Below are 11543 nucleotides of genomic sequence, written 5' to 3' on the forward strand. Positions count from 1 at the left end.
GTTCAGAGGTTGTTCTATGTAGGCTCAGCCTAGAAAACAGATACTTAATAAAGTTCGAGATGACGTTGTCAAAAAAAAAGAGCCAATCATTCCGGTTGGAAGATAAAGTTGGACAAGTAAATCAAGCCCAGACTGAGAAGGCTGAGGGGCCCAGAATCTAACGGATAATCTACTGGCTTTGGGGCCAGACTAGCACAGAAGCAGCCCTATCCAAGCCTCTTAGGAATTGTAACTATGAGTCTCTGTTTCCCTCCGTGAAATGGGGATAATTATGCCTTGGTATTGTGAGGATTACACAGGGTTAAATGAGACAATGTCCTTGGGCCTAAATACTTTTGGTATTGATATAACCCCTCCTTCTCTTTCAACCATTTCAGAATCGTTCCCATGATCCCTAGGCTCTGGGCATCTTCAGGAGTTCTTCAAATAAATATGTGACTATGCCCATCTTGTTTATGTTCAGTCAGCTCTGTTGCCTCAGACACTCAGCAGTCCATGTTTTACTGATACCTTTTGGAGCCTCTAAATTATTTGAAAACACTGAGTTTTTACTACAGGCTTCGGTAATTGACTTTCGGAGTAACCGGCCCATGAGACTGGTCCATTTAATGTCAATAATAAGTAATATCAGTTTATTAGACTCTCACCAGTGGCCCTTACTGAACATTCCATCCTCCATGATCAAGAGCAGCAGTTCAGCTTCTTAAGCAAATCTTATTCCTGTCTGTTGTAAAAAGTCATTTCACTGTAATAAGTATCTGCTTTCCCAAAGCTGAAACTACACAGAACAGCCTGTGCCCTGCAATTGACTCAGGGAGATACCCACATTCTGAAGTACTGAGACTGGGACTTGGGAAGGTCAATGCTCTGATTCAACACAGGTGATATGAAGAACAGTAATGAGTTTCAAAGTGGCCTATAGGCCTGGTGCGGTGGCTGACACCTGTAATCCCAGCACATTGGGAGGCCAAGGCAGGTGAATGGTCATAAGTTCGAGACTAGCCTGGCCAACATGGTGAAATCCTGTCTCTACCAAAAATACAAAAATTAGCCGGGCGTAGTGGTACATGCCTATAATCCCAGCTACTCGGGAGGCTGAGTGAGGCAGGAGAATTGCTTGAACCCAGCAGGCAGAGGTTGCATCGAGCTGAGATCACACCACTGCACTCCAGCCTGGGTGACAGAGCGAGACTCTGTGTCAAAATAAATAAATGACCAAAGTGGCCTATAGACTGGATCACAGCTCTGCCCTTTATTTACCAAAAAAAAGCCCTGGATTGCTCATTTTTGGGAAATGGTACCAAAAAGAAGTAGCTAAGGTTTCCAGAAATATACCTATCCAATCCACACTCTTACACCAATCAATGTGTGTTTCCATGACATGGAAGTCCTAAAGTCTGTTCTCAAGTCACCCTAGCTATGTGAAGATGATGAAATGAGAAACATTAAAATTCTAGAATGAAGATAGTAATTTCAGGAAGAAAATTTATCAGCTTAATGTTTGAGCTAGGGTATATGTTCTTTGAACATTATCCTCATGATTTTATTATAACGAAACTAAGGCATGAACTTGAAAAATGGGAGAATGGGAGAAAATTTTACCCTAAAACTAATAATGCAAATGTTGGGAGAAATACTCTTGTATTTCTCCATATTTCTGCTAGCACCTAGCACCTAGAACAGTGTAGAATATACAAAATACATTCCATTAATATGTGTTGGTTTCAACTGGTTTTTCTTTACAAAGCCCCCTTATCTAATTACCAACTGGTCCCCAAAAGCTAACAATCTAACCACCCAACCTTACATTTGGTAACTTTATAGTGTTAGTTACACAGTAGGGTTTTCCTGCTAACGAATCCTCTGTGGCATCTGTTTCAAAATGAAAATCTATTATATTATTAGAAACACTCTCAGTGTAAAGAAACCAGAGATGAATTGCCAAAGTCTGAGCTCACGATATTGTGTTGGCAAGCAAAAGCATCATGGCTGGACCCAGTGGGAGAAAGAAGATGGAATGCACACCTTTACATCCAATGCCCAACTCAAACCCTTCTATCAGTAACTCCACACCTTTTGATGAGTTCAGTTGTTTTGGGGGATGGAAAGGCGTTTTCTGGTTAGGAATGATGAACGGGTTGGTTTGCTACTTAGGTAAGTAAGAAGAAGGGGAACTAATGAGTAATTGTTGCACAATGACAAAACAACACTCCTGAAAGAAGCATAATTTGCTTCCCTGAACAATCCAGTCCTTTCATCATAAAATGTTCCTATTACATGGATACAGACCAGCAAAAACATTTGCTATACAAAAACACCTATTGTAAATAATTTCCATAACCAGATCGACAAAGCTCTATGACTATAGTTTAGATGCCAGGATTTGACAATAGCTAGATTATACTAAACTTTTCATTGTAATGTATACACTAAAATGACATTTGGTCAGTTTGGTCATAAAATAAATATAAATTATTGATATTTATAAAATTACAAATTCACTCATTCTTGGTTTCTCCCAATGCACCCCTGCTCCCTTCTTCCATCATCAATATTTTCCTAGGAAACATTATAATCTACAATTAACTGAGGCTGAAAACACCATCTTTTACCACATCTTTAGTGTAGCAAAAGTACCGAGCAAGCCACCCTTCTGCCTGATCTTTCTTGATAACTTTTTTAAGTACCCTAGAGCCAGTTGGTGCGTTCTTGGCTGTAATGCAGCCAAGTGGAATGCATTACATTCCACTTGTAATGCAGTGGAAGACACCTGGGTGTGTGCTGGGAGATCTGGGCTCTCCATAACCTGGCTCTGCCACTTCTCTATGAGACTTTAAGTGACTCACTTGATCTCCCTGAACCTCTCCTTCCTCTTCTGTGATGACAGAAGTTAGTCTTCCTTCACAAAGGTGTTGTGAGAATTATACGACACTTGATATTTAAAATTCCTAATCTAGTAATCTAGCACACAGTAGGTAAACTTAAAGGTAGATTAATGTTAAAGTTAGATTCTGACTGGACATGGTGGCTTGAGTCTTCAGTACCAGCTACTCAGGAGACTGAGGGAGGAGGATCCCTTGAGACCAGGAGTTTAAGGCTACAAGTATGCTATCACCGTATCGGTGAACAGCCACTACACTCCAGCCTGGGCAACATAGCAGGATCACAACTCTAAAAGAAAAAAAAAAAGGTAGATTCTGAAATATAGTGAAATACAGATCTAGGGCTCCTAGAGTAAAAAAAAAAAAATTTTTTTTTTTTTTTGAGACAGAATCTGGCTCTGTCGCCGAGGCTGGAGTGCAGTGCTGTAATGTCAGCTCACTGCAACCTCCACCTCCTGGGTTCAAGCAATTCTCCTGCCTCAGCCTCCCAAGTAGCTGAGATTACAGTGCCCACCACCACACCCAGCTAATTGCTAATTTTCGTATTTTAGTAGAGACAGGGTTTCACCCTGTTTTGGCCAGACAGGTCTCGAACTCCTGACCTCAGGTGATCCACCTGCCTTGGCCTCCCAAAGTGCTGGGATTACAGGCGTGAGCCACTGTGACCTGCCAAAAAATATTTTTAAAAGCAGAAAAAATACAGCAACTATGGCTTGCATCCCCATGTCTTTGTTTCCTCATCTTTAAAATTGGGATAATGGGCCAGACGCAATGGCTCATGCTCATAATCCCAGCACTTTGGGAGGCCAAAGCAGGAGGATCCCTTGAGCCCAGGAGTTTGAGGCTGCAGTGAGCTATGATTGTGCCACTGCACCCCAGCCTGGGTGACAGAGAGAGACCCTGTCTTTAAATAAATAAATAAATAAATAGGGATAATGTATACCATATGAGATTGTGAAAATGATAATTAAATCATTTAATAGAGGCAAATGATAATAAAAATAGTAAATAGTAATAGTAAGTCATCCACAAATATAAGATGTTGTTTGGTTTTTTTGGTTCGTTTTGTTGTTGTTTCTGAGACAGTTCTAGCTTGTCACCCAGACCGGAGTGCAGTGGTGCCATTTCAGCTCAATGCAACCTCAGCCTCCCAGGCTCAAGCCATCCTTCCATCTTGGCTGTCGAAGTAGTTAGGATTACAGGCATGGGCCACCACGCCCAGCTTTTTTTTTTTTTTTTTTTTTTTTTTTTTTGTAGAAATGGGTTTCTCTGTGTTGCTCAGGCTGGTCTCCAGCCTCTGGGCTCAAGTGACCCGCGCACCTCCCAAACACTGGGATTACAGGCTTGAGCCACCACATAGCCATTGTCTTTTTTTTTTTTTTTTTTTTCTCTGAGACAGAGTCTCACTCTGTTGCCCAGGCTGGAGCGCAGTGGTGTGATCTCGGCTCACTGCAGCCTCCACCTCCCAGGTTCAAGTGATTCTCCTGCTTGACTACTGAGAAGCTGGGATTACAGATGTACCACCACGCCCAAGTAATTTTTATATTTTTATTAGAGATGGGGTTTCGCCATGTTGGCCAGGCTGGTCTCGAACTCCTGACCTCGGGTGATCCGCCCACCTCGGCCTCCCAAAGAGCTGGGATTACAGATGTGAGCCACAGCACCCGGCCTACAGCCGTTGTCTATGAGGAGATAAGCTAGTTATCAAAACTCCCCATAACCCATCCTGTTTCCTACTCAAACACTGAAACCTCTTAGCTCTCTCCCACTTCCTCTAAGGCCCTAATCTTCAAGGAACAGAAAGAAGCTAAACAGTCTTACAAGTTAGATTTCTTAGAATAAAAGATGGGTTTTCACATTAGAAATAGGTGAAAGTTGGCTGGGTGCGGTGGCTCAGGCCTGTAATCCCAGTAATCCAAGCACTTTGGGAGGTCGAGGCGGGCAGATCACCTGAGATCAGGAGATTGAGACCAGCCTGGCCAACATGGTGAAACGCTGTCTCTACTAAAAAATACAAAAAATTAGTCGGGCATGGTGGCGCGTGTCTGTAGTTCCAGCTACTCAGGAGGCTGAGGCAGGAGAATTGTTTGAGCCAGGGAGGCAGAGGTTGCAGTGAGCCGTGACCGCGCTATTGCACTCCAGCCTGGGAAACAGAGAGAGATTCCGACTCAAAATAAATAAATAAATAATTAAAAACTATTTTTAAAAAAGAAATAGGTGAAAATTCCTTAGAAGGCACCTACAGCTTCTTACCTACATCATCTCATTAAATTCTCACAATGACTCTATCAGACAGGTACCACTATTCCCTCTTTTGAGGGATGAGGAAACAGAGACTCAGGGAGATAAAGTAACTTGCCCAAGGTTACACAGCTATTCTCAAGGAAACGTAGTGCATCCCATGAAAATAGCCTGGAGTCGAGATACTGGAGTCAAAGTGCAGCCAAAATTGTCAGGGTGCAACCTGCCTGTCCAATCAGAGCTGCTACTTCTTTGATACTGGAATCCCCCAATTCCTGAAATTAACACCCAGTTCTCCACTCCCCAAAAGCACACGCTGAGTGCCCTCAGGGCTCTTGCTGTTGCCAACGGACCTATAACTCGGTACAGGCTCAGGCAGCTGAGAGGAGGCTGTGGACACAACAGGCCTTGCTAGGCTTGCTGGGACGGGGCCACATTACTTTGCAGGCGCGTCTTTCTCCTGCCTGCTATCTAGAGCTCGCCTGTAGGTGGCGCCCTGCTTCGCTCAGGGGAATTTGGAGGGCGAGGACACGGGTCACCAGCTGCCTCCCCTGAAGGCCAATTTAAGTTGTCCCCTGGCTTGAACTGAGCGCAGGAACCTCGGTGATGGGGACATGCCCCCCTCCCCGCGCGCTCTTCCTCTCCCAGCCCCCCTGCCCTCCCCTCTCCAGGGGCTGGCGGGCCCGCGCTTCCTCCGAGGTCGGGCTACGCGGCGCGATCTCCAAGCGCTGGGGCCGAGCTTGGCGCTCCGGGGCGGCGCTTCGGTCCCCGACCCTCGGGCCGGCCCGCTGGCCCCCACTCCGCTTCCTCCCGGCACCCGCTTCGCCGGCAGCTGTAGCGGAGGTGGAGGGATGGGGGACTGTGACCCCCGTGAGTGCCGGCGGGGCGGGGCAGCTTTAAAAACTTCTGAAAGGCCTGGTTCAAAGCCTCAAAGGATAGAACTTGGGCCGGAAGGCGGTTTCCACGGAGGGGCCTAAAAGGGGGCTGGGGGTGCACCTGCAGGGCCAGGAGCTGCGGCTTGGGAAGGGGGGCCCGGTCACCGCGAGCGCCGCAGTCCCCGCCCCGCACTCGCCGCCCCTTGGAGCCGCCGCGGCCCCGCCCGGGCCCTGCGCTTTCATCCTCCCCACGGGACAGCGGCCGCGCGGGGCGGGGGCGGCTCTGGCCGGCGCGCTCCCGGCGGGGTCTTCCTTCCCTCCGGCCCCTCCCTGGGAACCCGAGATTTCGCCGCAGAGCTGAACTCCCAGATTTTAACCCCAACCCCCCCGGGCGGGAGGCCGCGGAGAACCGGGAGTCGCGACCGAGGAAGCGTCCCCAGTCACCTCCTAGCCCCCCACACAGAGCCCCGGGGAGGGTGAGGAGGAGGAAGAGCGGGAGGAAGACCCGCGCCGGTGGGTGGGGGCAGGGAGGGGGCGTCCGGGGTCGCAGGGCGGCGCTCCGGAGAGTGGCCCCGGCGGCGTCCGGAGTCGCTGCGGCCGCCGTGCCACCTCGGGCAGGTGGGGGGGGGAATGCGCGGCCGCCGCCAACCAGGGTCGCTCCGCCGTAGACGCCGAGCAGACGCGGTCCGGCGCTCGGCCGGAGAGCCGGCTAAGGGGCTTTTCATTAGCACCGCATTAGGAGGACACTCATCCTCCAGAGTCCTTCCCGTGGAAGCTCTTGAGTGAATTAGGTAAATGATTTGCTCCATTTGTAGTTTCTGAAGATATTTTCTCAGATCTTCAATCGAGCGCTTTAGCCGGGGAGCATATCTGTGGGGGCCTCCTTCCCACTACCTAGGGTCTCACTCGGTGACAATTGCTGAGTCAGTGAGGACGTGTGGGGAAAGGTAAAAGTGGAATTGAGCAAAGCTGAGTAATTTAGCTAAGGAAGAGAAATCGCTACTGAAAATAGAATAGTTTAAAAATAAACTACATAAAGTTTATTCTTTTGCTTGGAGTCCTGCTCCTTGATCCGAGAAGGTAAAATCCATCAGAGTTGGGAGTTCCCTCCCCCCCATTAGCATTTATTACACTTTTTCAAAGTTACTGAAAGACTTCTTTTAGTGAATTTTAAGAAGCAATCGTGGTTGACATTACAGGCATCAAAGGTTTGGGGAACAGATGGGTAAACTTCCGAAGAGCTTAGTTGCAACACTAGCTCTCAAATTTAGTGTCAACTTTTATTTTAAAAAATAAAATAGGGTGGTGTTTTTATTAAACTTTTATATTTCAAGAGGTAGAGAACACCGAAGAGGAAAGAGACTGAAGGGAAAGTAGGGTGTTGGAAACAAAAAGAGAAAGGCGAGATTGACTGTAACATTCTGGTCTTCAACGAGTCCCAAGTTGGAATCCTAAAGCACTGCATATTTCTGGTAGCGTTAACTCTAACTGGAATATTGGCGGGCCTGGTCTCTAAGTGCGTCCTAAGAAAAAACAGATTTAAGCAAAATGGTTTTTTCCCTTTTGTGAAGGGAAAAAATTTAAGCACTTGCTTCATGCGGTAGCCCCAGCGGAAAAGCGAGCCCTCCCGCTCCCGGTGGCCTGAACTGAATTTGCTGCTTTAAAATCGGCAGGTGTGCCCAGCGTTCCCAGCGCTGCAGCCGGGACCTGATGAGTAAGAGTAAGAGGGCTCAACCGCAGGACATCACATGCCGGGTACCTAACGTCGGCATTTAAGCAGACAGGGACTAATATGCTGGAACTATCCTCCCGACACTGGCAAAGCCCAGAGACCGCATTTCCTACCACTTTGCCCACTTTGTACTGGGCACCCTCGGTAAACAGGATGAAAGCAACATTTTTATCCCTTAAGACGAAAATGTAACCTTTAGAATACTCCCTATTCCGGGGTTGACAGCAGGTCAAGGGCTCAGAGGCAAGCTTGCATTACACATAGGACAAGTACAACTTATCAGGGTGCAAAAAAGGGCAAGAAACTTTGTAAAAGTTGGAATCAGTATTCAAAGAGATAGTTTCAGGTGGTGCTACATAATGGCATGGTAACCACAAGAAGACCAGAAATGCTTGGAGTGCATTTCTGTTCTCGAAGAGGGGTTGAGGGTAGAGGCTTGGTGCACTGTGGTTTGAAGGTTTACAGAAAGCAGCCTTATCCTCATGAAGCTGGGAAGCTATGCTTTCTCCACAAAATACTTTTAATGATTTTCGCCCCAGAGATACCGGGATCCGAGACCTTCACAGGCTCTCCTGGCCTGAGGAATCACAAAACTTGCAAACTCTGCAGTTTTTCCCTTGAGTTCACTTTAAAAACACAGGCACCTTGAGCACAAAACAATTAAGGTGGTGGTTTCCCCGAGACAACAAACCAGGCACAAACACACACCTTAGTCTGCACTGGCACTAACATTCCCACTCTAGGGCCACTCACTGCCAGTTAAAGAACAAGAGCTATCCACTTCAAGTGTGGGGACAAGCTTCATTCAGGGTGCAAACACATGCCCACAAAACACAAAAGGGGAACGGTTACTCCAAAAGAAGTCTGAAGACTTCCAGTAAGCAGTAAAGAACAGCCCGGAAGGTCTGCAACCTGTCAGCTCCAGGGGCCGTCACCACTCCATCCTGTAGCCCCACAGCATTGAGTGCTGTGTTTCGAAAATTGGAAAGTGCTGGGTTTTAATTGGGGCTGGGTCCTGCCTTCTCCCCTCTTCCTCCAGATCGGGCCCTCTCTGTAAGCGGATTTGCTTTCCCGTGTATCGCCAGCAGGTCGTTTTTAGGCAATCTTGCTTCTGCAAAACGTTTTAAACATGGTAATATATTGCAGTCTTATTAAGTCCCCCTCCAGAAGTGGGTGAAAGGGGCTCTGTTTTCCTGAAAGATTCAGGAACTCCACTGTCTGAGCAAGACTAGCCCAAGGAAGGCTTGGATTGACTCCGCTATCCACTTAAGTGAAGACAGTATTTTTGTTGCTGTTGTTGTTTTTGGTTTATGTTTGTTTTTTGTTTTTGTTTGGTTGGTTTTGGTTTTGGTTTTGAATGCCTAGGAGATTTTAAATTCACATAATCCTCCCTCCAGGAGGAAAAAAAAAAAAAACAAGAAAACATTGAACTTGCTACCTTCATTATAAGCCACCCTAGAAGAAGCTGAGAGGACAGGCTGCTGAACTGGTGGACCACGAATTAATGTGGAGAACGAGGCCGTCCGGGCTAGGTTCCCGGGGCTCAAAGACGCAAAGGGAAGGCGACAAAGGTTTCTCACAGGTCGCCGTTAGGGAGAGGGGGCAGCGCAGGAAACCCGTTTATTTAAAGTTCAGTTGTGTTGGGCATCTGATCCAGGACAACTCGCCCAGGAGCCCGGCGGGTTTCAGCTGCCACCACGAAAGTAAGGATCGGTTCTGCCGCGTCGCCCCCTCCTTCCCCTTGGGATGTGCCAGGCGGGCGACAGATAAGGGGGCGCGGCGCGGGGTCAGCCACCGAGCCAGAGGGCGGCGCCCGGTTGCAGCGCTCCACAGCCGCCTCCTGCAGCCTCGCGGTCGTGACCTTGCCGAGCAGCTCCTGCGCCTCAGGCTCGGTCCCTGCACCCGCCCTCACTCCAGTCCCTCTCAGGGCCTGCAGTGGAAGATCCCCGTGGTCCGGGTGGGTGGCGATGGAGAGCAGAATTGAATTTATTTGCTCTCAAATTCCCCTAAAAGCTCTGAAACTGGGAAAGTCCGCGGGCTGCCAGGGACAGTAATCACTGTGTCCCCACCCGGACGCAGGAGGTCTCGGGAGGAGCTCCGAGGCCAAGCGCCCGCGACTTCTGGGTGCCAGGTTGCTGCAGACGAGAAATGAAGCCCGCCAGATTTGGGCTCCCGAAATTTTTTGAAGTATGAGTACCTTAGATTTCCCTTCTGATACAGCGCCTCTTTCGAAGGGGTGTGTGCGAGTGTGATAGTGAAGATGGGGTGGGGAGTTCTTGCCTGCTAAAAAGTCTCACCCTGGCCCCACAAGCGAGCAAGGGGGAGACAGGCAGGTGGAGGAGAAGGTAGCACACCCTCTTCTATTTTTATTCATTATTTTGAAAATTGTGTAAGATTGATCAAGTGGAGTCCTACGCTCACGCCCAGCGCTTGGAATGAATGAATGTTTCTCTCGGCGCTCTCAGCAAGATGCTTTCTACTAATGGAGAACTTTACCCCGGGTCTTGCAACCCACTAAACTTGGCGTCCCATGCCACACTGGGCGTCCCAGGCCTGCCTGCCCTCGACGGGGCGGTCTCTCTGCCGGCCCCTGGTAAAACAGTTACTGCACCTGGGGCTTCGCAGAGTGCAAGGAGGAAAGAAGTGGGGCATTACTTTCCAACAAGCAATGACCTCAGCCTGCCAGCGCCTACCTTGTTCTGGAAACACCTAATCTCTGCTTCCTCTATAAAGTTTAACTGCAGCTTGCCTCCAATCCCAAATTGCAAACACTAGCAGAATTGCTCCCTTAAGCATTTCCTTCCTTTGACCCTTCCTAAAGCCTTGTTCAAGTCAGCACTCTGGGGGTCCTTAAGAGAAAGAGAAATTCAGGATGGCCTTCTTTCAGTTTAAACTAATAATGACACAAAGGGAGCATACCTGAGTCCTGGGATTGTTTATACTTCTTCATAATTCAGTGACAGACTAGGCCTGAGGTAACAAGTTGTGTAGGAAAGAAAGCATTGCAACAGGAACATGGCTTGGAAAACTTCTCTCCAAAGGAAACCTTGGCTTCCTGCCACCTGGATAGTCACACATTAATAAGTATGCACTTAACATATACAGCCAACATTACATATTAGCATTGATCTGGTCAAGTGGAGAATTCTCCATAGTTGCTTAACTATTCCATGTATGGGAACAGATTTGGTAGGGAATGTTCTGGCCTATTCTTAATAATAATAAAGACTGCTGAGCTCCTTGCTTCACACTGACATCATAAAAGCCAGATAAAATAAACTGCTTAGAGGCCTCAGTGGAAATCCAGGAGCAGTTCAAAGATCCCCCTATTATATCTGACCTTGCTTTCCCTGTGTTTACATTGGAGTAATAATAACCTCTAAGATTCATTGAGCTGTTTGCTACATGTGCCATGCTCTGCTCTAAGCACTTTAATATGATAACTCATTTAATTCTGACAACAGCCCTATGAATTAGTTGCTGTTTTAATCTCCATTTAATAAATGTAGGAAACTGAGGCACAAATAAACTAAGTAATTTGCCTACTACTACTTAGCCTGTGCATGTTAAAACTAGCTAGTTGTTTGGCTGCAGCACCTGTGCTCTTGACCACTGACTACACAGACAAGAGGGGTTTTGAACAGTGATCTCTGCATGTGATCCTGCTTGGAGCTGTTTTCTGAAAAAAGTAGACAGGAAGTAATTAATCCCATTAATTTGGTACATCTAGACAGCCAACCTGGCATAGAAGAACTCTTACCCACTGAAAAGTTACTTTCCATAAGCTATCCAAGTGATTCAATGCATTTTATA

At 47.5% G+C, this 11543-nt stretch overlaps 1 annotated feature.

Annotated features, from left to right (window-relative positions):
- Nucleotides 9906-10779: an enhancer, noted in NCBI's record as "H3K27ac-H3K4me1 hESC enhancer chr1:61520031-61520904 (GRCh37/hg19 assembly coordinates)". NCBI's record gives its function as "activates a minimal SCP1, AML or CMV promoter by ChIP-STARR-seq in naive H9 embryonic stem cells {active_cell/tissue: H9 hESC(naive)}" and the evidence as "EXISTENCE:reporter gene assay evidence [ECO:0000049][PMID:30033119]".

The sequence above is a fragment of the Homo sapiens genome, chromosome 1 (genome assembly GCF_000001405.40).
Source record: "Homo sapiens chromosome 1, GRCh38.p14 Primary Assembly".
NCBI lineage: Eukaryota > Metazoa > Chordata > Mammalia > Primates > Hominidae > Homo > Homo sapiens.